The sequence below is a fragment of the Homo sapiens genome, chromosome 9, assembly GCF_000001405.40.
Source record: "Homo sapiens chromosome 9, GRCh38.p14 Primary Assembly".
NCBI lineage: Eukaryota > Metazoa > Chordata > Mammalia > Primates > Hominidae > Homo > Homo sapiens.
In genome coordinates, this window is record NC_000009.12 from 135,731,971 (window position 1) to 135,756,475 (window position 24,505).

A 24,505-nucleotide genomic window follows, 5' to 3' on the forward strand; every position below is an offset into this window, starting at 1 on the left:
TATATATATATATATATATATAGAGAGAGAGAGAGAGAGAGAGAGAGAGAGAGAGAGAGAGAGAGAGAGAGGGAGTCTCACTCTGTCATCCAGGCTGGAGTGCAGTGGCATGATATTTCAGCTCACTGCAACCTCCGCCTCCCAGGTTCGAGATTCTCCTGCCTCAGCCTCCCCAGTAGCTGGGATTACAGGTGCCCACCACCACGTCCAGCTAATTTTTGTATTTTTAGTAGAGATGGGGTTTCACCTTGTTGGTTAGGCTGGTGTTGAACTCCTGACCTCAGGTGATCTGCCCGCCTCAGCCTCCCAAAGTGCTGGGATTACAGGCATGAGCCACCGCAACTGGCTTCAAATATATTTTAAATACCAAAAACTAGTTGAGGCTTCTACCCAGGGGTACAAGCAATCCTCCAGTGGAAGTGTCCTCACCCTTCCTCCGGTGCCTGGATCTTGTTGTGCCTTTGCTGTGCTGGTCAGAGCCAGCCATCTGTGTCTATAATCCAATTTCAGCCATGCCTCTCCTGTTCCTCCTGGCTTGGGCTCATTGAGTCATAACTGTATGGCGTGTGGGCTCTCCGCTTGCTTCTGGAGTTCTGTGGTCTCCCCCTCTGCCACTGGCTGCTGAGATGAACAGGCTCATCTCATCTTCGAGTGTGGCTTCCATTGCACCTTGTCCTTATCAAGTTGACACAGTGCCCAAATTCCTCCTGGGGAACTTCCTTCTTCTCTGGGTTTTGTTTTATTGTTGGCCGGGTTCTTTGTCTGCTGAAGTCCAACCTATCTCTCTCTCTCTCTCTCTCTCTCTCATTCTCTCTCTCTTCTCTTTTTTCTCCCTTCCTTCCTTTCCTTCTTCCTTCCCTCCTTCCTGGGGCTCCATGCCCTTCTCCCACTGGGGGCAATCAAGAGGTCTCACCTCAGTCCAAGGGTCAGCCCTGGTGTCTCCCCAGCCAGACAGTGACCAAAGTCAGGACACACCCCCTGGTTGCCTCCTGATGAGGGCTAAGGGTGAGGATTCCGGCACTCCCAGTTTGGACTCAGAAGACAGGAGCAGTGTGGGGAGCAGCACCGCCTGTACCTCCTCTGTGACTCCCCTGGACACCCTCCAGGAGGTCTGTGATGCTGACCTGCCCTCTCCTTGTCGGCTCTGAGTCATTCATCTCCAGTTCTTACTATGCTTGTTTGTTGTCCTGGGTTAGTGCAGCCCTCATACCTGCCCCCGCACCTGCCCCCACACCTGCCTTCACACCTGCCCCCACAACTGCCCCCCATACCTGCCCCTGCACCTGCCCCACAACTGCCCTCACACCTGCCCCCCACACCTGCCCCTGCACCTCCCCCCACACCTGCCAGCACACCTGCCCCCACACCTGCCCTCACACCTGCCCCCACACCTGCCTTCATACCTGCCCCCACAACTGCCCCCCATACCTGCCCCTGCACCTGCCCCAACTGCCCTCACACCTGCCCCCACACCCGCCCCCACACCCGCCCCCACACCTGCCCCCACACCCGCCCTCACACCCGCCCCCACACCTGCCTCACACCTGCCCCCACAACTGCCCCCCATACCTGCCCCTGCACCTGCCCCCACACCTGCCCTCACACCTGCCCCCACACCTGCCTTTGCACCTGCCCCCACACCTGCCCTCACATCTGTAAATGTCACACTGCCCAGCCCTGCACTCCTCTCCCACTTGGCCAGTTTCAGGCTGTACCACTCCACCGAGGTGACCCCAGCTAGTTTGGGGCTTCAGATCCCACTGCTGAGCCGGAGACCCAGATGGGTCTCAGACTGACAGTCTCAGACTGGCAGCCCCCCATAGCACCAGGCGTGGGTGCCCACCCACGAGATGTCACCTGGCAGGCACTTTGAGAATGTCCAGAATGGGTGTCATAATCCACCCCCCGCCTGCTCCTTTTGTCTTCCCCACCTTGGGGTGTCACCACCTGCCTGTTCCCTCCCCCCAGCCTGGGCGCTGTCCCTCCCCCCTAGTCCTTCAGGAAGTCTAGCCAGTGCCACCTTCAAAACACACCTTGGATCCACCTGGTCCCCTGTCCTCTGTCCAGCCCGCAGTCCCACTCAGCTCGCGGTAGGCAAAGCGAGGCCCCACCCTCTCTGCAGGGCTCTTGGAGACACGTTTGAACCACAGCGTCTGTGTGCTCTCTAAAAGGGCAGTTGTTATTTTTTCCTGAGTTTCCAGGATGTCTGCCCCTGTGTAGCCATAGGGTCGAGCCTCTCCAGGCTCCATGGGAGCAGAAAGTGCTGGGGACACCTCAAGGCTCACGTGGCTCTGTGGACCCCGAGCCTGGGGCCCCAGCCCACCTTCCCCTCCGTGCCTGGCTCCAGCCATGGGCCCTGCACCCGTCCTGGTGCCCTGAGGCCAGGAAAGGGGGCTTCTGGGACTGCTGCTCGATGCCGAAGGTATTGTCCTTCCCACATGGGAATCATCTCACTGGACTTTCTGTGACAAACATAGACAGTCATTTCAAAATAAATCAAACTTCAGACGTGGTACAGCAGCAAGTTGCGAAGATCCTCCTCCCCTCCCCGCACCCCAGGCGGCACCTGCTGCAGCCGGCTGTGGGCACTCCATGGACAACACGGCACAGATGTTCTCTTGTCACATAACTCTCATCCTGTACTTCAAAGGCCACGAGTAAGTGAAGACCCACTGCACTCTCGAAAAGCAGGAACGGAAAAAGTCACAGCACTGCATCATGGAGCAGCCGCCCCGGGTGGGCGCGCGCGTTTGCCTCCTGCGTGAGGCTTCCTCCAGCACTGCGGTGGGCTGTGGGTTCGTTCCCAGGGAATGTGAGCGAGCCGCATCCGCAGCCCAGGCACCCTCCCTCCCAGCTTCCTCCCCGCCCCAGGGTGACCATGTATGGGCAGCCCTGATGTCCATCGGCCCTTTGTGCAGTCATGGCGCGGTGAAGGGCCCTGCAGGCGGCGCCCAGGGGTGGTGCGGGGCTCCGCCTGGTCTGTTTACTCACAGCACAGCATGGGGCTCACTCAGCAGCACGCCCAGGAGAAGAGCCCAGCCTCATTCTTTACAGCCGTTCTGGGGCACTCCACAGGAGGGTTGAAGGGGGCTTCCATCTGCTGGTGCTCCCCAACACCAGGGGCTGGCAGAGGGTACTCGTGCTTTGCAGGTACAAACAGCGCTCTCCCCTGGGGTAGACCCGAGCCACGACAGGCAGCCAGGGCGACATGCATAGGAGCGTGTGCTCAGACCACACACAGTGGCTTTTCAGGGGATTTTCCTTACTCAGCCACATCGGGGAGGGCGCTAGGGCAGGTATCGGGAGCGCCAGTGAGTTGGTCATTTTCTGAGCATGATGGCGGCTCAGCGTTTGGACCCCCAGAGGGAGCAGGGCCCTGTGCCTCAGCCTCCCTCGAGTGGTCCAGCCCTCCCTCAGCATGGGTGCTGAAGAAATGGAAGCCTGTGCTGCCTGTCAGGGACCTGCCGCTGGAGTTTTACCCCCACCCCATCCGCGTTGGCCACCCAGGCCCCTGTGGCACGGGTGCATGGAGGCCTAGTGAGGTCAGAAACCGTCCAGCCAAGGGTGGGGGGATTCAGGGTGGGGGAACAGGCAGCCGGCTCCGGGAGGGCTTCTGGTGTGAGTTTGGGGCGGGCCGGCCCACTCCCTGGAGTTGGTGCTGTCAGGGGGTCCTAGGCCCACCTGCCTCCCACAGGCCTCTGTACTCACTGGGCCCTGGCTGTTGGTTGGGGGAAGAAATAGAGACAGATCCCTGGCTTGCAAGGACTCCAGGTCTGGGGTCAGAGCGTGGACAAGTCCGGAGGGCTCTGCCACCCGGCACTGCTGAGGACAGGGGCGCATCTGACAGCCTCCTGCCTCTACCGAGCTGGCTTCGGGGCAGCTGGGCCTCCCGGTGCCAATACCCCCCGGCTGTTACCTGCCTGTCACCTGGGCGAGTCACCTGGAGCCGCGTCTGTGACATGGAAGGGAACGGTTACAAAAGCCACATCATGTGAGATGTGCGGGCCCAGCCAGGCATCTGGGGCAGACCAGCGCTGCACACACACAGGTGGGATCTGTGCCCGGTGCCCAGCCTGGCATACAGGCACCATCCCGGAGTGCCCCCATGGGCTGTGCCCTGACAGCTTTGGAGGTAGGAATTGGGGGGTGAGGACCCTGGTGAGGACAGGCAAACTCAGCCATCACCCCCCTGGCCAGGGTACTACACCCACCCCACACCAGGGCTGGGGGCTAGGGGTGGGCACAGCTTGGGCAGGCCATCCTGAGCGCCAGGCCTGGTCCGCAGGCCGGCTGGAGGGCCCTGCCCTGCCAAGCGGGACTCCGGCTCCTCTCCAGCATCTGCCGCCCGGGGTGGGCGCCCAGGGCCACCAGCCCTCGCGGCTCCTCCCCTCCCCCCGTGCGCGACTGTCATTGTTACCATTGCTTGGCTTCTGCCAAAGCAGCCGCAGGGCCACCGGGTGCTTGAACCTTCTCCATGGGGCGTCCTGGCGGTGGTTTGAGCCGGGCAGTCCTCCCCGCCCTCCCCAGCCCCCCAGCCCCGGCACCCGGCCGTTCCACTGCGCGGCGGCGTGGGGAGGGCGCGGCGCGAGCTGAGATGGTTCCGCCCGGCGCCGCCCCCGCTGCCCGCCGCCCGCCGCCCGCCGCGCCGAGCGCTCCCGCAGGATGGCGCGGGCCAAGCTGCCGCGCTCGCCGTCCGAGGGCAAGGCGGGCCCGGGGGGCGCCCCAGCCGGCGCCGCAGCCCCCGAGGAGCCTCACGGGCTCAGCCCGCTGCTGCCGGCCCGCGGCGGGGGCTCCGTGGGCAGCGACGTGGGCCAGAGGTAGGGGCGCGCGGGCCTGGGACCCCGCTTGTCAAATCGCGCTTGCATCCTGCTCGGGCTGCGCTGGCTGGGCTGCACCTGCGTTGCCTGCAGCCCGGGGAAGGGGGGAGGCCAGGGTCTCCCCTCCTAAGCCCACCACAGCGCCCTGCTTCCTGCCGTGTCTCCAGCCTTTGAGAGCCTGCGGGACCCCCCACTCCCCCCACGTAGGGGCTGAACACGGCGGGGCTGCAGGTGAGACTGCAGGGGAGGGAGGAAGTGGACCCAGCTCTGTGCCAGGCACTGGGGGCCCCTGCCCGAGCCCTGTCCCACAGGAGCCCCGATCTTGTTGGTGCCAGCGCCACTTTGGGGGAGACAGGGCCGGCATCCGTGTCCCCACCCCAGAGGTGAGTGAGGCCGAAGCCTGCACAGCAGGTCAGGGCTGGGACACAGGGCTCAGGCTGCCTGGGGAGCCCTGCTGTGGGGTATGCTTGGGCTGGTGTCTGGTGCTTGTGGCAGGAGGGGTGCAGGTGGCCGTCCTCTGGGGATGGTTGGGCAGGTGGAGCAGCGCCTACCCCTCCTTGGCTCTTCCGCAAGCTCAGGGTGGGACACAGCACCCCCATTTCACGGATGAGGACACCAAGGCCTCATCTGCAGCAGCAAATTCCTAGCCAGCACCTTTCCCGTGCCAGGAGCCGTTCTAGATGCTGCGGGGGAAATGAGGATGAATCAGACCTGGCCTGGTGTGGGCACATGTCGTGGGCACGGAACCTGTTCCTGGGAGAGAGAGGTGCAGGCCAGGCCGGGACAGAAGAGCCGGGGACTCCTGGGGTGCTGGTCCTTCCGGGACAAGCATGGGGAGATGGGCAGGGGCCTTCCAGGTAGCGGAAGCAGTGAGGGCTGAAGTTTCATCAGGGCTGGGGGGCAGGGCTGGCAGAGCAGGGCCTGGCAGATGGCAGGGCCAAGGGTGCCCAGGAGCCTCTCCCTTACCCCTCCTACCTGGCTGTGGGCTGTTGGGCCCCTCCCGGCACCCCCATTTCTAGCTCTTCACAGCAGCCCTGGGGGGGCACTGCCCAGCTTAGTCCCATTTGCAGAAGAGGCGGTTGAGGCTAAGGTCAAGCACCTGGCTGCAGCCTCCTGCAGCTAATGGGCAGCCTCCGCCAGGGAGGCGAGCACTGGCCAAGGCCCTGGGGACCACAGTCCCCTCCCCCTCCTCTTCCTGGATGCTGGCGTGGGGGGAAGGGGGAGGGCAGTGATCCTGGAAGCCCTGCTACAGCCAGCCCTCAAGGGGCAGGTTCCTTGCCCCATCCCTGTTCCTGCAGGGCCCATAGGGATAGCAGGTTCTGCCCAGGCTGCGTCTGAGCCCGCAGTGCAGTGCAGCATGGGAGCTGTAGCCTAGGCCCACCTCCTCCAGGAAGCCCTCCCGCATGTTCATCCCAGCCCTGTGGGCTATGCACTGTGCTGACGGTTTCACATGGGTGGCCTCGCTCATCCCCCGGCAGCCCCTGAGGTGCAGAGTCCTTATAGCCTCCTTTTGCAGAGCAGAGGTAATGGAGCTGCTGCCCAGCTGGGCTGAGCAGCCCCTGGGCCTGGAGCATTCATACAACAGGGCTCGCGCTGAGATGAGTAGGGCAGGCTCCTGAGCAGAGGACTTGGTAGGTTTGTTCTTCTGGAGTGTGGATCTCACGGAAAACACAGGCGAGGCCAGAGCCGAGAGGCAGGTGTGGTCTGCCCCAGGGAGCTGGGGGTCGCAGTGCCCGCAGCTGCCTCATCCTGCAGGCCTGAGCTGCCTTCATGGGCCAGCCAGGGTCCCGGCTCCCTCAGCCCTCTCAGACTCTGCCCGTCTCATTGTTGAGAAGACAGTGAAGCAGAGGAGAGGTCTCCACTGCCCACCAGGGACTGAGCCACAGGAGGCGTTGTCGGGGGAGGGCACTTGCTCCTGGTGCCCCTGCCCAGAGCTCCCCTAACACCCTGTGCCCACTTATGGGTGCTGCAGGCTGGCCTCTGTCCCTCCTCCCACACAGTCCAGCTCCCCTGACCCTGAGCTCCGGGGTCTCCTCCTTCCTTCTCACTCCCCTGTGTGAGGCTGGGGAGGGATTGGGAGCTGATTAGACAGCGTGGCTTCAGTGGTGGGGTCAGGAGACCATCACTGCAAAGCTTTTGAGTAAAAGTGCCCAATGGGGGGACAGGGCCTCTCAGTGAGACCCCGCTGCATCAGGAGGCCCTGAGCCCCTCTGTGTCCCTACCACCCCTGGACCTAGGCGGCCTTGCCCCTCCCAGCTGGGGTCTCCCAGCCTCATGCCTGACTTAAGGCACCAACACAGCCCCCTCCCCACATCCTCTCCGGGGCCGTTCCCCCAGCCCCATCCTACTCTTCTGGCCCTAGCACTGCACTGGGCAGGGGGCCCATGCTGAGGAGCTCACCTGGACTGCGTGTTCTGCCCCCACACCATCCCTGAGGGAGGTGGGGCACCTCTCTTTGACCCCAGGGAGCAAGCCTGAGGCCCCCACACAGCCTGAGGTCTAGCGTGGTCCAGTTCTCCTGCCACTGTGCCCAGCACCCCAGTGTCTATGGCAGCCACAGGTCTGTCAGTCCAGCTGTGGCACGCAGAGCCCCGGCCCCGCCCCAAGCCCCTCGCCCTGATGTTCCTTGGCTCAGGAGATGGTCCCCTGAGCCCCCCGACCCCGGACACCCTTGCCAGGACCTCCCTCCCCTGCAGATCCAGACCTTCATGGTTGCCCCTCTCCTCTCCAAGAACCTGGCTGCTCCTCCATGCCCCCCTCACCCCGGGCACACGCCCGGCGCCCCACCCTCTTCATGGTGTTCACACCGGCTCGGCACACCCCTTCCCCTGGGCCTGAAGCCCCCCTTGGAGCTTGCCCCAGATGGCCTCTCTCCCAGGAGGGCCCCTCCTGAGTATGGTCCCGTCACCCCTGAGGTGCCCCCGCCCTCCTCTGGCTTTGCCCCGCTCCGGGCTGCACACCTTCTTTCCACACAGTGCTCTGCGCTCTTTCTCCCCCACCCTAGAATGCACCTGTTTGGGCGGCTGGTTTATCCTTGACCCAGGAGCGTGCACAGGGAGTGCCCAGCCGCAGGGGTGGGGCTGTGTTCCCAGGCCCTCGGGGGACACCAGGCCCTGTCTTTCAGGGGTGTTTGCTGGGCCCACACCTCATTTATTGTCTCACAGTCCTGGAGGCTGGAAGTCTGAGCTCAAGATGTGGGCAGGGCTGGTTCCTCCTGAGGCCCCTCCCCTTGGCTCGTAGACACCATCTTCTCCCTGTGTCCTCTCCTGGCCGTCCCGCTATGTGTGTCTGTGTCCTCATCTCTTCTTATAAGGACACCAGTTTTGTGGGATTAGGGCCCACCCTCATGGCCTCACTTTACCTTAATGACCGCTTTAAAGGCCTCGTCTCCAAACATAGCCACGTGCTGAGATACTGGGGGTCAGGACTTCAGCATGTTAGCCTGGGGGCACAAAACTCCGCCCGAGATAAGGGGGTGCCTTTGTTGCGTGTGGGAACCTGCCGGGACCTGGCTGTGCTCTGGGCATTCCCCAGGTTTAGAACAGAGGCTCCCAAACTCCCCCAAGCAGGGAACCCCCTCTTCCCCAAAGCATCTTATGGGACTTGGGGTTGTGGGGTGCAGAGGGACACTCCACTCTTCCCCCAGTCAGCCCAGAGGGGCTCCTAGAGAGCCCAGAGGGTCCCTCCCTCTCGAGGCTGGCAGCTGAGACTGCTCCTTATGGGCACAAGTCAAGTGGGGATGGCCCCTCCTCACCTGGGCTCCTTCCCGACCCCAGCCCCAGGCTCTGCAGGACACAGCAGGGAAGCAGGGCTAAGCCCAGATCCTTCCACTGACCACTGCTGCCCTAAGCAGGGCTGAGACCCTCTCCTGGGAGGGAGGTGACGGCTTCGGGTGCAGGTTCTGTTCGTGTGTTGACAGCGAGCCTGGCCATGGGAGGTGGGTGGGCCCAGGGATGAGGCCCTCACCACTTGGTCCCAACAGCTAAGTTAGGGCTGGCAGAGATGCTGAGTGGCACCCAGGCCACCAACCGCTGGGACAGGCGAGCATCAGGGTCCTCCTGGACCACCGTGGGTTTGGATGCTGCGGATAGAGGCCGAGCTTCCTCAGCTCCCCTCCCCTCCCCTCCCACCCCTCACCCTGCAGTTCACTTGGCAGGGTTTGTGCAGCCGACAGACCTTGTTTGCACAGAGCTCCAGTCCTCAGCCAGGTTCTGCACAGGCCAGCAAAGCCCCAGGTCCCTTTGCCCACAGGCCGCTGCCCTCCCCTTGGGAGTCCCTGGGTGGATCCTCTACCCATGTGCTTGGTGGCCCCTTCCAAAATCAGTGGGGACGGCTGTCCTGGGCCTCAGGCTGTGGGACATCTGACAGGTGGTGGCTTCCTCAACACTCAGACAACAGGGCCTTGGGCAGAGTAGATGGGAGGCCCCATGCGCAGCTCAGTAGACACTCAGCTAGGGCTATATCGGGAGATGCAGAGGGACGCGGCCAGGGAGCACCTGGGAGAGAGGACACAGTGGGCCCCAGCAGGGAGGAGCCCAGCCAGGGCCTGGCCACGCCGGACCTGACCCACAGGCCAGGCAGACCCGCTGCCATGGGCTGAGGCACTGCCAGGCTCCTGCCAGCCTCTGACACGGCTGTTGCCCTGGCTCAGAGCTTCAGGCAGCACCAGGGTCCAGCGAGAGGGAAGCTGAGCCGGACAAACACGCAGAATCTGCCAGAAGCTCCCAGCAAACCCAAAGATCAGCCCCATTAAGCCTGGGGTTCTGCCTGCTCCGTGTGGAGCTGCTGGCCCGGCCACCATGCCCAGCCAGGACCTCGGCCCTCCCAGGGGTGTGTCCAGCTTCTGCCTCCCCCAGGGACCAGAAGCTGCTAGGGCTAGGGGCACCAGGAGGGCACCTGCCCACCCGGAGAGCCTGGCGTAGGCCGATGAGCGTGTGCCTGTGACCCCAGGCTGGCTTCCTCCTTCCTGCCTGTGTGGCCTCAGAAGACTGTGGTCCTCTCTGAACCTTTGTTTTCTTTTCTGAAAACATGGTTGTTTTGAGGATTAAAAGAGAGAGGTCCCTCTGAAGTCCTTTGAGGAGGAGCTGGTCCAGGACAGGCACATAGTCAGTGAAGGCAAAGACCCTCGGCACTCCCACCCTGCCCAGCCCCCGACCAGGCCGGCCCTCTGGAGCCCTCAGCTCCCATCAGCCTCTCTCTCCGAGTTCCGAATCCAGTGCAGGTTGCAACCACCTTGGTGTCAGCCGCCTGCTGGCCAGTCTGGGACAACTGGGGCCAGGTTGCCTGGGGCCAGGCTGAAGGGGTAGCAGGTGTGTGGCTGCTGGCGTGGTGGAGGGTGGTGTGTCCAGGTCCCCTGAGAGGCATCAGCTCTGAGCCCTGGCTTGTCCTATCGCAGGGAGCCTTGGGGCAGGGCTGGCGGGTGCCTCACCCGCTGGTCTGGGTGTAGGGCAGGGGAGTGGAGACAAGGGGACAGCCTCGCAGACCTCGGCATGAGGTGGAGCTCACCGCGCTCGCTTCTGGATGCTGGGGACCACACATGGGGCCTGGGCTGGCTTCGTGCTGAGCAGGGCCAGGGCGAGTGCCCAAAGCATCGTCACCTGCTTGCGTGGCTGAAGGGTGGCCCTCTCCTCGAGTGTGGTTGTCACCCCCCCATCTGGCCCAGGCACAGGAGGGTGCATGCGCGGGGACCTCCAAGCGGGCTGTGCTGCTTTCTCGGGCCCTGAGGGGGCCAGGCTTGGCTCAGTGCCCCCACATGGCTCTGCACATGGACTGCCTCCCACAGGCACCTCTCCCGTGCCCGGGGGCGCCAAAGGTCCGGGCCCCCCAGAGCCTCCCTGCGTGTCTGTGCCCCGCCTGGTCCCAGAGCCCAGGCTCTCCATCTGTCTGTCTACTGCCTTCTCCATCCGTCCGTCTATCTGTCTGCTGCCTTCTCCATCTGTCCATCTGTCTCCCGCATTCTGGTTGATGCCCCTCTGTGTCCCCAGGCTTCCTGTAGAAGATTTCAGCCTGGACTCCTCCCTGTCTCAGTAAGTGCTTTGCAAGGGAGGAACTGTCTTGGTGGCAGACAAGGGCTCTTAGAGGTGTGAGAGCCCTTGTTTCTGGGGGGTCCCCTCAACCCAGCATCCCCTGCAGCTGGGCCAGGGCCACCGGCACCTCCCAGTACCCGCTGGTGCCTCTGGGTCCCAGGTGCTGGGGCTGGAGACAGGACAGTCAGTGTGCCCCCTTGGAGAGGAGCCTGAACTTGGGAAATGGGCTCCCCAGAGGTGGGTGGTCCGCAGCCTCAGGAGAGGCGGATGGCAGAGCAGGGGCCCTTGTCATGGTGCCTCCCAGGGACAGGCAGGCAGGCAGCTGCTGGGGCCTGGGCTCTGGCTCAGCCCACCTTGGCTGCCTGTGCCGGTCGAGCTCCCAGGAGCTGGGATGCGCTCTCGGAGGCTGTGCCACTCCCCACTGAGCCGCCGGGGCTCTGCCGGTGGTGCTTCCTGACTTCAGCTAAGATGTAGGTCAAATGGAAGAGGCTTTGAGGCCAGGGCAGCCAGGCCCTGCGCACTCCTGGGAAGCCCCCCGCTGCCATCCACCTTCAGCGCGGTCTCCAGGAGGGGCCCCAGGCTTACTGTTCCATGCACGGCACCAGCAGCAGAAACCACCGAGCACTCAGCACTCACGGCTGTTGAGCATCCAGGGGCTGCCCGGCACCCATGGTGGGACCTATTATTATCCCAAAAGAGTCCTGGAGGCTGGGAGGCCAGTGGCCACCACCGGACCTCTATCTTCCCAGCCTGGGGCCCCATGGTGCAGAGGGTGACGGGTGTGAGATAGAAGCCGTGCCCACCACCCAGGGTTCTCCTGGCCCCACCCCAGGCTCCCGAGGAGTCGGGTCTCAGACCTGTGGAGGAAATGGATGCGTCTGCAGCCGAGGCTATAGTGTGTGCCGCCGTGGCACGGTCTGGACACAGCCGATGTTCCTGGACCTTTGGAGGCCCAGCTGGACTCACCCTTCAGCCCTGAGCCAGCCTCACCTGGGCCCCTGGCCAAGCTATGGGGGGGCCCCAGAGGCCCAAGGGTGTCAAAACAGGGACCCCAGGGGGACGGAGACATGTGTGTGCCCTTTCTGGGCCCTTGGGCGTATCAGATGCTCTGTCCAGGCTCAGAATAGCTGGCCCCAGGGTTGGCAGTGGGCCTGAAGCCTGCCCTTTCTTCCTGCCTGCCTGCCTGGTGCTGGGGGCAGAGGCCTGCGTGGAGCTCCCAGGCACCTGCCTAAGAGCCAGCCGGCACCCAGCCACTGCCAGAGAGAGGCAGCTCGGACCTCGGCCCCATGTGAGTGCAGGGCTATGGTGGGCCCCGAGGCGTGTGCCTGACAGCCTGGAGCTGGTGTGGAGCTTCCCGGCATGGCCATCTGTGTATGACTACCTGCCAGGAATCCCTGGAAGGCCAGTCCCCCAGCCTGCAGCTGGCCTGCCGGTCAGCAGGGAGAACTGTTGCCGGCCTCTGCCGACCCCATTTGTCACAGGGCGGCCGGCACTTGCCTCAGAGGGTCCCGTCTTGGTGTGGGGGTGGGCACCATGAGAGCCCCTTTGCAGCACAAGGGCCTCCTCAGGCAGAGCAGTGGCGTGAGCCCCTGGGCACAGGCAGGCAGTGGGCATGGGTACACGCGGGGCCCAGGCCTGGCTCAACACCAGCCTTGCAGGACTGGGGCAGAGCCGCCACCTGGGGACAGACTCCCCTGCTGCCGCTACAGGGAGCCCCAAGGACCCAGGCCTGGCACTGCCTCTGACCTGCTGAGTGACTGGGGCAAGCGTGGGCCTCGGGGAGCCTCGGGGGGCTACAGCGGGCTTCAGCCGTGTAGGGACGGGGCTGGCCAGGAGCTGCCTGTCCTCACGGTGCCAGGGACAAGTTGTTCGCCATGGGCCAGCGCCGCTGACGGCTCTCCCAGGGCCAGGGCCAGGGCCAGGGTTTGGCCTGTGGATTCCTCAGGGACCAAGGCCTCACCCCAGGGGGTACACAAGGGACTGTCTGAGGCTCCCTGCTGTGTCTGGGACCCCCTGGCCAGGCCTGCCCGCACATGCCCATGAGTCTCACCGGCCCTGCGTCTTGCTCCTGGGCTGTAGGCCGTGGGCAGTGGCGGTCCCTGGTGTGCCCCGTCCTCCCCACCAGCCGAAATGCAGACTGGCAGAGGTGAGACGGGCCCGGCCCCCTGTGGCGAGTGTGTGGCTGCGCCCTGAGCCCGCCTCCCAGGGTGGGGGTCGGGACCCGTGGCCGGGGATCCGGGAATGCAGCACCCGCTGCCGGGTGTGGACTCTGGGAATGGCGATGTTCCCAGACGGATGCCGCCATGAGCGCTCACTTGCTGTTTGCCAGATAAACAAATGAGTGAACTGATGAGTGGATGAGAATGGACACAGGAAGTAGATTCTTCTGCCCCGTCCTTGCCTATTGTCCTGGGAGCCTGCGTTCACAGGCAGGTTCTTCCTAGCCCTGTGGGCGGCTCCCCACGGGAGTTCTCGGTCATCTCCCACCTCTCAGGGCGTTCCACCGAGCCCACGCCCAGCTCCTGGGAGCAACTTGCCATGAGCGGGTCCCCTGCTTTCCCACCGGCCGGGCCCTGACAGGAAGCGGAGAGTGTGGCCCCACCCGGGGTCCCGCCTCTGCCCGTGGTCCACACCTGTGGCTTCATAGCCTGGGAGCCACGGTGAGTCGAAGGCCTGCGCTGTCTCTTTTGGCTGACGTGGGTCCTGATGGTTTGAGCAGACGGGTGCTGGCCCCCAGATGAGCACCGGGGCAGCCTCTCAATGGAGCCTGTGAGCAAGGGCGTCGTCCCAAGAGAAGCCTGGGACACAGAGGCCATTGTTTCTATCTCAGCACAGACAGAGCTCCTCCACCTGTCTGCTGTCCTCGGGACACGCCGGGAGTTGGTCCCTGTCCTGGTTCCCATTCCCCAGGGAGGAGGCCCAGGCGCTGGCAGGTGGAGGGGAACAGCCGGGCAGAGGAGCGGCAGGGCCCGTGTAGCCTCACAGGGCTCACTGGGTCTCAGCCCTGGGCCTCTGGCTGCCGGGCCGGGAGCATGCTGTGACTCTGAGGAGCTAGCGGAGCCCTCCAGGCTACCAGTGTCCATGAACCTCTGCCGCAGCAAGGAGGCTTGGGCCACTCTGGCAGGAACCACCAGGCGGGTCTACCCCAGCCGGGTCGGCCTAGAGCTGACCCCAGCCAGGCCTCTGCAGCCACAGGCTCCCTCCCCAGGTGCCGCTGCGTGACTCGTGAAGACAGATCGCACCAGTCACCTGAAATACACTGCAGGGGAAAATGGATCGTTTTCATCTCCTTTTTGTGGTGGTGCTCGGAGAAGTGGGCGGCCACAGTTCATTAAAAATTAAAAGCAGAGGAGGCTTCATTAATGTCTCTGGCATCGCAGGCTCCAGTTTCTCAGGGAGTCTGCCAGGCCCCAGCGTTTCTCTGCCTCCACGTGGAGGGTGCCATCTGTGCAGGTGGGCACTCCCCGCTGAGCTCCGTGGGGGCTACCCAGATTGGGGCCCACAGCCCCTCGGTGAGGGGACCAGGGTCTGGCTGGGCTCTCTCCCTAAGGGGGGCTCAGTGCTCTTGTTTCTGGGGTGCCAGGAGGAGGTCAAGGGGCCTCAAAGAGAAGCTGCTGGGGGCGCGACTAGTCCCAGACCAGCAGCCCTCGACCCCACGGTGTCTGGGGAGGAACTTGGCTGTCCGGAAGCCAGTGAGGTCCTGGCAATGGGCAGGGTTGCATCTCTCTGTTTCCTGGCTGTGGAGGCCAAGGGGAGCCCAGGGGGACGCATTGGCTTCGTGGTCTTGCCAGGCAGCTGCAGAGGCCCAAGGCCCAGAGGTCCAGCTGCACCAGGTCCACGGGGAGGTAAAGGGAGGAGCAGGAGCTCCTTGGAGGCCTATGACCGATGGAGGGTTGGGGGCGTGGCCGGAGCTGGCTGGGGAGATGGAGCTGGCTGGGTGTTGCCTTGGAGTGGAGTGTGGGGCGATGGTCAGGGCGGAGCTGGGCACCCCCGCCTAGGAGGAGTGGCCAGGCAGGAGCCCAAGGCCCAGAGGGAGGTCAGAGGGAAGAAACATCCTGAGGGCAGAGCTGCAGGACCTGCTGATGGCTCTGGTCTAGGGGAGGGGAGGGTACAGGAGCCTGAGGTTGGTGGGGGATGGTTGGCCTGGTGCCATCAGGAATGGAGAATTCTGCCTCGGGGAGGGGGAGCCGGTGGATGCCAGAGGGTAGAGTGGGGCTGGACGGCTGCCAGCAGAGCCAGTTGGGAAGTCACCCCTGCGTGGCACTTAATTCCCGGGCTGGGTGGGAGAGAGGCACCTGTGGCAAGCCCTGGGGTCCCCCAAGGAGAACGGAGCGGAGGGGAGAACAACAGAGCTCGGGGAGGCCGTGCTGAGAGGCCCAGGGAGTAGAGGAGATTCTGGGGTCTGGTCACCGTGAAGGGCATGGTGAGGCTCCCTGCCGGAGAGGAGAGGGTGGGAGGCAGTAGGAGCAAGTGAGGTGAGCAGACCCCCCGCGTTGAGGCTTTTGCCATGGAGGGCGGGACAGTGGTAGGGAGGCGGGGAGGGTGGGTTCCTAAGCTCCATGCTTTTAGGGCCCGGTGGTCCCTGGGTACCGCCGGCAGTGAGGGGAGGAGGGCCTTGGGAGACCCTGGGCTCAGCCCCCGGGGGCAGCTCCCGCCTCAGCCCTGCCTGCCCCCCTGACATGGCCAGACCAGGCCCAGCGCAGCCTGGACCTCCAGCATCCTGTCTGAGCGAAAGACATCCATTCAGAGAGAAAGACGGCGGACAGACCCCCCAAAGAGACACTTATGCAGGGAGGGGCCTCCCCAGCCAGGGCTCCAGGCACACAGAGGAGAGGCGTGGGGCAGGAGGAGGGGCTGAGGGACACAGCAGAGCTGGCTACGCTGAGGGGTTGCAGGGCATGATGGGGCACTCTGGGGGCAGACTGACCCCCCATTAGCACTGGTTCAGACGCCACTGGTCTGTGGGAGGCTTGTCCCACTGCCTGGCCCCAGGAGCCCTGAGTATGCCCGGTGGGGTGACAAGCCTGCCCCCAGGACTTGGCCTGAGCCTCCTCTTCAGCATGGGGCAAGGGCACCCAGAGCCACACGCCTCTTCCTGGACCCTGGACCCTTCTTCATTTCATTTATTTATTTATTATTCATTTTTGAGACAGGGCCTCGCTCTGTCACCTAGGCTAGGGTGCAGTGGCGTGTTGACGGCTCACTTCAGCCTCAAACTCCTAAGTTCAAACGATTCTCCTGCCTCAGCCTCCCCAGAAGCTGGGACTACAGGCACGTGCCGCCATGCCTGGCTACTTTTTATTGAGACGGGGGTCTTGCTATGTTGTCTAGGCTGGTCTCAAACTCCCGGCCTCAAGCGATCCTCCCACCTCTGCCTCCCAAGTTCCTGGGATTATGGGCACGAGCCACTGTGACCGGCCCCTGGCCCCTTCTTGAGCTCTGTAACCAGCAGAGGCCACTGGGGCAGATCAAGGCAGGTGCTGGGACTCTACCAAGGCCCCTCCCGCCCGCCCCACAGCAGCCCCACCACGAAGGCTGCTGCACACACCTGGTCCACACCACTTACCCTGAGTGTTGTGAGCTTTGGGAAACATCGAATGTTTTAATCACTTTCGGAGATGTTGGGGTCACCAGCCCCAGGCCAGGCAGTGACATCAAATTCTCAGATTCGATTGATAGGAGCCAGTGCCTGCTCAGAGGGGAGGTGAGGCTCACAGCCCACCCACTGGGTGTCACAGCCTCCTGCCCTGGTGGACAGTGACAAGGAAGGGGTTGAGGCAGGAACAGGGGTTAGGCTGGTGCTTACCTCCCCCGACTTCTGGACAGCTGCCCTGGGACCTCTGCTTGAACACTGCCTCCTCCACGCAGCCGTCCAGGATCCTTCCAGGCAGCACAAGTCTTCCTCCAGGCTCCGCTGTCTGTCTGCCCTACTGTGTTGTGGCCCTCGCGCTGCACTGGGCAGGGGGCCCATGCTGAGGAGCTCACTGGACTGCGTGTTCTGCCCCCACACCATCCCTGAGGGAGGCGGGGCACCTCTCTTTGACCCCAGGGAGCAAGGCCAGGCACCGGAGGCAGCGCCCGAGGGCTAAGGCAGCCGACTGATAGGAGCAGACGTCATGGAGGGCACAGGGCCATGGCTGGGAGCAGCCGAGGGTCCCATGGAGGACAGCCCAGCACCCCAGGGCACGGGCCGTTTAGGGGGACATGTGCTCCCCCTTCCCAGAGACGGCCATGCCTGCTGCAGGAACCCTGGCTCTGGGTCTTGCTCCTGTCTGTCCTGCAGGCTGGCAGCATTGGAGTTTTCCTCTCAGGGGATCATTAAACCCTGGCCTAGCCTGGCCCGCATCCCAGCACAGCCGGGCACAGGAGACCCTGCGTCCAAGGCTGGGGCAGTGGGGGCAGCAGCCGTCCACCCCCAGGCTCCATCCTACTCTTGGTGGCCAGCCTGGGTCATGCAGGTGGCCACGGTAGGTGAGCCACGCAATCTCCCCACCCCACCTCACCCCACCTGCCACCCCCGGCAACTGGCACACTGTGGTCTCTTCTCAGGACCGCCGGGGCCCGGTTGGAGGCCAGAGGGCTGGGTGGTAGGCCCCATGAGCAGCGGCGTGCATGGGGGTTGAGGGGTGTCTGGGAACCAGTGGCTGGGGCCATAGGTGAGCCTGAGGGAAGGGGAGCGGCACTGGCTGGAGGGGCCCCACAGCTGGCCTGCGAGGTGGGTGCAGGGATGACCACTTCCCACCAGCCCATCTTCCCTGACAGCCCTTGAGGCTGCAGTGGCCCATAGCCTTGGAGCACAGCCACCAGCGGCCTCCAGACAGAGCAGCTGACCATCAGCTGTGGACAGCCTGTATGACGCAGGTCCTACGGCATGTTCTGAGCACTTGCGGTGTCCTGAGCACCATCCCCAGGGCCATATGGGCAACTTTACCTCCTGGCAGGTGCCCTGCACCCACGGAGGCTTGGGCGAGGGTGTGTGGAGTGAGTGCCGCACCCTGAGCCCCAACAGGGCGGCCTGGAGGGCCCAGACTCACAGCAGCGAGTGCCCAGGGCTGCGGGGAGGAATCTTCAGAGGAGCCGAGGCTGGGTCGGCTGTCTGCTGGGTGTGACGGACCCCAGGACCCTCCTGGGTCTGAGGTGGAGGGAGTGGTCCTGCTGGGCCCTGACTTCTCAACTCCTGCAGTTGGAAAGTTGGAAGAAGTCAGTCAGGTTGGGGCTCCCGGCGTGTCCCCAGCCTGAGTCCCCACTGGCCCTGAGCCTCCATGCCCCTCTCTGCTTCTTCAGGGTCCAGGTGGAGTTCTACGTCAACGAGAACACCTTCAAGGAGCGGCTCAAGCTGTTCTTCATCAAAAACCAAAGATCGAGTGAGTGGGGTGCCTGGAGGGCCACTCCCAGGCAGGGAGGTGTTGAGGGCGCCGGGAGCAAGCCTGGCGATGGCGAAGGCTGGGGCTGTGAGCTCAGGGAGAGTCCATGGGGTGGGAGCCACCTGAGTGCTGCGGGGGCATTTGGAAGCAGGGTGGGGGTGGGTCTGCATGGTGAGTGGGGCACAGGGTAGCCCCCTCTTAGCTTCACACTGTCTGAGACCAGGGCCTCTGCAGCGGGACTCGTGGGGACACCGTCCTGCCTGCTGGACACCAGGCTGGGTGGGGCAGGACCATCCATAGGTGCCAGCAAGGTCTCCCCTGTGGCCACGCCCTGCCTCCCACCCCTCCATACAGCCCCACCCTCCCCAACAGCTCCCTGCCCCGTTCCCAGCCAGAGCTTGGCATCATGCTCCCCCCGGGATTGCAGGTGAGGACTTGGGGGGTTTCCCCAGGGGCTCCACATTCACCTGCCTGCTCCCCAATCCCTATCCTGTCCTCCAAGAAGTGGAGTGGCCTCTAGAAATCCCCTGCACCCCAAGTTCAGGCACCTGTAAGGTGGGGCCAGGGACAGAGCCTCTTGGAGGCTGACCCAAGAGCATCAGCCCCCAAACAACGCAGGGCACACAGAGCTCTGCGTGCAGCCCGGGTGTGGGAGGGGAGCCCAGCTGGGGCCATCCAGAGAGCCCAGCCAGACCCGGGTGCAGGCCCTGCTCCCCGAAGCCCAGAGCTGGGTCAGAGCCCTGAGGCCGCTGCCCTCCCCGCAGGCCTGAGGATCCGGCTGTTCAACTTCTCCCTGAAGCTGCTCACCTGCCTGCTCTACATTGTGCGCGTCCTGCTCGATGACCCGGCCCTGGGCATCGGATGGTGGGCCACGTGCGCGGCCGGGCGCGGGGTCCCGGGTCCCAGGGCTGAGCCTTCCCACTGGGCCGTTACAGAAGCTGATGGCGTCCCTGGGGGAGCCCCTGTGCCTGGGGCCTTGGGGAGTCCTTCCTTCCCCAGTGCCTGTCCCAGGATGGAAAAAGCCAAGGACTCAGTGCCCAGGCTCCCGCAGACGGCTCAGCGTAGGGAGAAGGGTCCCCATCGTAGACTTCCAGCTGTGCCCTTAGCTACTAGCGGACCCAGAAGGTCCACGGAAAGGCTGGAGCATCTAGGATGTCCCTCCCTGCCCCCACAAGTGTCTCTGTGCTCACTTGAGCTTCTGCAGGTCAGGGAAGGGGGCGCCCAGTCCCCCTGGGGAAAGCCCCTACCTGTTTCTGGGGGTGTCTTCTACCCCTCCTGGGTCCCAAGGAGTCCCCTCCCCAGGGCCCATCGTCCTGGGGCCCATGCTCCAGGGACTTCTGGGAGAGGTGCTGGGGGCAGCAATCTGCACCGTCAGGTCCTTACCAGCCTCGCAGCAGCCGCGATGAGGGTGGGTGGGAACTTGCTCTCTCTGAGTCCTGTTCTGTCTCCTTCTGCTGTTGCTGCTTCGAGAAGTGGCGGCTGCTGGGACCTACTCTGTGCCCAGCGTGCCTTGGCAACTCCTGCTCACCTCTGTGTGGGTCCCAGGGGACATCAGCAGGGCCCTGCGGCCCTCGGTGCCGGCCTGTCCTGAGTCATGTCTTTGGGGACCAGCCCCCAACCCCAGGCCTCTCTCTCTGGCTCCCTGGCACTCGGATGCTGTGCTCTGTGTCCTGTTTCTTCTCTCCCCTCTCCTGCCTCGTTCCCTTGTTCACTCGTCCACTTGTTCTGTCCTGCCTCCTGGTTTCCAGAAATCCTTTCTCTGAATGTCCTTCCGAAGATGGTGTCTCCAGTCCTTTCCTGTTTTACGCTTTCCCCATCTGCTGGGCCTGTTTCTCCCGAGCTCACATTGGGCCCTGACTTTTTCATACCCGTAGATTTCCTCAAATGTCTGGTGCCGTTTATGCGTAAGAGTGCTCAGGCGCTGAGGGGCTCTGCAGCCACGTGTGTGGTGTGGTTGTCACCATCCAGCCATCGGGGTGAACCCTGCCAGCATGCTGGTCCCCCCTCTGGCTGCGCAGAGCAGGTTCTTCCCTGGAGAGAAGGCCTGACTGCCGGGAGCCTGGCTTCTGGGGACCTAAAGGCGTCCATGTAAACTTTTGCTCAATCCCCCTTTTCACCTGTTACCCCGTCACAAGGGGGCCTGGCATCCCCAGGCCAGAGACTTTCCCTCTCCTAAGAATGAACCTCCTGTCTTTGTCTAGGTCAGAAGAGGGCAGAACCCACTAGGAGAGTTTGAGAAGGAGAACTGGGCCCTGACTGACTCTCAAGCTACTTTCCTAGGTCACTCCCCACCCCAAGTCCCAGGGTCCCCTGGGGCTTCTGGTTTCACATCCCCACAGGGCCCAAGTCTGTTGTGTTCACTGCCCGTCCCCTAGCACAGCGTCCAGGACATGGATGGGGGTGGGAAGATGGGTGGATGATGGATGGATGGTTGGATGGATGGTGGATGATGGATGGATGGACGGACGGACGGATGGACGGATGGATGGAGTGGATGGAGGGATGAGTGGATGGGTGGATAATGGATGGATAGGTGGATGCATGGTGGGTAGATGGATGGATGGATGGAATAGATGGATGGAGGGATGAGTGGATGGGTGGATGATGGATGGATGGATGGATGGATGATGCGTGGATGGGTGGAGGGATGGATGTTGGATGGAGGGATGAGTGAATGGGTGGAGGGATGAGTGGATGGATGGAGAGATGAGCAGAAGGATGGAGGGATGAGTGGATGGATGATGGATGGATGGATGGACAGATAAGTAGATGGATAGATGGATGAGTGGATGGATGATGAGCAGATGGTTGGAGGGATGAGTGGATGGATGGATGGAGGGATGGATGGATGGACAGATGAGTAGATAGATGGATGAGTGGATGGATAGAGGGATGGATGGATGAGTGGATGGATGGAGGAATGAGTGGATGGATGGAGAGATGGATGATGGAGAAGTGGATGGATGGATGAGTGAGTGGAAAGATGGATGGGTGGATGGATGATAGATGGATGTCCAGATACTTCTGTGGGCACTTAGTTTGCAACAACCCCATTAAAAATCAGGGGAAAGTGGATCAGTTGAAAGAAAAGACAAGAGGAGCTGGCCATCACCAGGGGCCTTGTGAGCAGTGAGGTCTCCTTGGTCAGTGACCCTGGCATCGATGATGGTCTGGGACAAAACTAGCTTGTTGGCCATGCCCTGGTCACTGTCGCAGCAGCTGGTTCCAGGTGGCTTGGGGGCCGCTTGTCCTCAGAAGCAGCTTAGGGACGTGCCTCTTGGAGTCAGCACCTGGGGATAGGAGCTTCCTCTCCCTGTCTCTTGAACACTGTCCAGCCTTGTTCAAGGCAGCTCTGGCCTTGGGGAGGCCCTGAGTGTTCCCACATGCTCTCTCTGGCCATGTAAGGCCCCTCCCTGGGAGCCTGTTGTCAGCACAGGCAGAACCAGTGTGTTGCTGTTGGGTTGGGGCTACCCCCAATCCCGCAGATGTGGGATGTACCCTCGCTGTCTGCCTGCTGGGCTGAGCAGTGGCCAGCCCAGCATTCCTCAGTTAGAGGCCCTCCTGCAGGATCTCCGCAGTAGGTGGGGAGGGGGCAGGCTGCCTTGTCTCCCAGGTGTTAGAGCTCTGATGTGGGGGTTAGCCCCGGGTGGGTGAGTAGGAGGCCCCCATGAACCCGAGCCTGTGGAAGCCCTCGGGCAGCAAGTCCTTGCAGTGGTGCTAGAGGGGCCAGGGCCGGGCCAGCGCTGTGTCTCTCCACAGCTGGGGCTGCCCAAAGCAGAACTACTCCTTCAATGACTCGTCCTCCGAGATCAACTGGTGAGTCCACACTCCAGCTCCCAATAGCCAGGCGCTCAGAGGCCTGGGACCAGGGTGGGGTGGGATGAGTCTCCACTCCAGCTCCCAATAGCCAGGCGCTCAGAGGCCTGGGACCAGGGTGGGGTGGGATGAGTCTCCACTCCAGCTCCCAGTAGCCAGGCGCTCAGAGGCCTGGGACCAGGGTGGGGTGGGATGGACAGAGGCTCACACTGCCTGGTCCCTGAGGGATAATGCCCAGCCTCAACCCAGCAGCCACCCAGGTTCCCCAGGACACATGTGCCCTTAGCCCTGGCTGTGGTCAATGCTGGGAATGTCCCCTTCAAGAGGAGCAGTTTGAGAATTGTGAGTTCCCAGCCAGTTCCACAGCCTCCACACGCTCTTCCTGAGCCCAGTGAGAGATGCAAGGAAGCCCGTCTCCCAGTGAGGTGGCGGCTTCTCTTCCAGTTCACCATCTTACGGCAAAGGAAGGCACCTGCCCCGGGCAGGCAGTGGGAGGTGACTGCGGGGCAACTGGGGTGCCTGGTCCAGAGATTAAGACCTGTCCCCAGAACCTGCAAGGCATGTCCCCAGTGCCTGAGCCCCTGTCCGCATCAGGCAAGGAGCAGATGGCCCCCTGCAGCCATGCCCCTGCCTGTTTATGGATGAGGAACTGAGACTCGGGGAAACCCAGGGGGCTGTGGGTTAGATAGCCCGACCTCCCTGCTCTTAGGGACATTCATGGGAGCCCGGCTTCAGGGACCCAGGTGAAAAAAACAGGCTACCCAGTCTGGGGCCCAGGCTGCTGTTGCCTGTCGTGTCCAGAGAGGAGAAGCTTTGCCACCCTTGGTAGTGTCATGGGCTGCAGGCCAAGGCTCCATGGAGACTCAGCCATGGGCCCTGGCCTCACAAGCACCTCCTGGGGGGCCTGCCTGCTGCAGTCCTGCTCCATCCTCCTCTCTTGGGGAACCTTCCCTTCCCTCCTCCTTATGGTCCCCTCCAAAGGCAAGGTAGGCTCCTTTGGTCCAGCCCCAATGAGCAGCACATGCTTGGGGCCAGTGGAGGCCAATGGTTATGGCCCCAGCCCCAGGGTGGCTGGGGGACACTAGTGGCTGTGGTGCCCTACTGTGCTGCCTCCTTTCTCTTCCCAGGGCTCCTATTCTGTGGGTGGAGAGAAAGATGACACTGTGGGCGATCCAGGTGAGTGCCCTACCCTGCCCCCCTCCCGACTGCAGTGGTGCTCAGTAAGCACTGAGGACCAACCCAGACTCAGTAAGTAGGGAACCCAGGCTCGGTGAGCACTGAGGACATACCCAGTCTCAGTAAATGCTAAGAACAAACCCAGGCTCAGTGAGCACTGAGGACAGACCCAGGCTCAGTAAGCAGGGGACCCAGGCTCAGCAAATGCTGAGGACAAACCCAGGCTCAGTAAACAGGTGACTCCAACTCAGTGAGCACTGAGGACAAACCCAGCATTTACTGACCCAGGCTCAGTAAATGCTGAGGACAAACCCAGGATCAGTAAACAGGGACCCAGGCTCAGTGAGCACTGAGTACAGACCCAGGCTTAGTAAGTAGGGGACCCAGGCTCGGTGAGCACTGGGGACAAACTCAGGCTCAGTAGGCAGGGGACCCAGGCTCAGTGAGCACTGAGGACAGACCCAGGCTCAGTAAGCAGGGAAACCAGGCTCAGTAAATGCTGAGGACAAACCCAGGCTCAGTAAATAGGGAAACCAGGCCCAGTGAATGCTGAGGACAAACCAAGACTCAGTAAACAGGTGACTCAGGGTCAGTGAGCACTTAGGACAGACCCAGCATTTACTGACTCAGGCTCAGTAAATGCTGAGGACAAATCCAGGCTCAGTAAATGCTGAGGACAAACCCAGGCTCAGTGAGCACTGAGGACAGTCCCAGGCTCAGTAAGCATGGGACCCAGGCTCAGTGAATGCCAAGGACAAAGCCAGGCTCAGTAAAACAGGTGACTCAGGCTCAGTGGGCACTGAGGACAAACCCAGCATTTACTGACCCAGGGTCAGTAAATGCTGAGGACAAACCCAGGATCAGTAAACAGGGGACCCAGGCTCAGTGAGCACTGAGGACAGACCCAGGCTCAGTAAGCAGGGAAACCAGACTTTAGTGAATGCTGAAGACAGACAGGCTCAGTAAGTAGGGAACCCAGGCTCAGTGAATGCTGAAGACAAACTCAGGCTCAGTAAGCAGGGGTCCCAGGTTCAGTGAGTGCTGAGGACCGACCCAGGCTCTACTGCTCTCCACACAATTTTCCCAGGGATCCCTGAGGACTTCCTGACCCCCTCTGTCTGCTTCACCACCTGAATCTCTCCCTCCACTGACCCATCTGTGTCCTTGCTGTTTTCCTGGGGTGGAGAGTGCACAGGCCAGGTCCCTGGCTGGCTCCTGGGTGGGTGACCTAGTTCATGACTGGGTCCCATGTCTCCATCTGAGACCAGAGAGGGTCTTTCACACCCACCCCTATCATGTTCCAGAG

General features: G+C 62.7%; 1 protein-coding gene across 11 annotated transcripts in view, besides 1 other annotated feature; it reads left to right on the top strand.

Annotated features, from left to right (window-relative positions):
- Positions 1-24,505, top strand: part of KCNT1 (potassium sodium-activated channel subfamily T member 1) — a 93,318-nt gene that overhangs the window by 29,786 nt on the left and 39,027 nt on the right. For 4 of the 11 annotated variants that reach the window (NM_020822.3, NM_001272003.2, XM_011518878.4 and 1 more), the window contains 4 exons: positions 18,128-18,207; positions 18,972-19,071; positions 21,967-22,023; positions 23,151-23,199. In NM_020822.3, coding sequence (NP_065873.2) covers positions 18,128-18,207; positions 18,972-19,071; positions 21,967-22,023; positions 23,151-23,199 — 286 coding nt within the window. Of the gene's footprint in view, positions 1-4,642; positions 4,818-5,026; positions 5,049-11,837; positions 12,132-17,778; positions 18,044-18,127; positions 18,208-18,971; positions 19,072-19,101; positions 20,488-21,966; positions 22,024-23,150; positions 23,200-24,505 lie in introns of those variants that run through there. The other 7 variants (XM_011518880.2, XM_024447618.2, XM_017014932.2 and 4 more) reach the window with 7 other exon arrangements.
- Positions 15,397-16,154: an enhancer, noted in NCBI's record as "H3K4me1 hESC enhancer chr9:138639213-138639970 (GRCh37/hg19 assembly coordinates)". NCBI's record gives its function as "activates a minimal SCP1, AML or CMV promoter by ChIP-STARR-seq in naive H9 embryonic stem cells {active_cell/tissue: H9 hESC(naive)}" and the evidence as "EXISTENCE:reporter gene assay evidence [ECO:0000049][PMID:30033119]".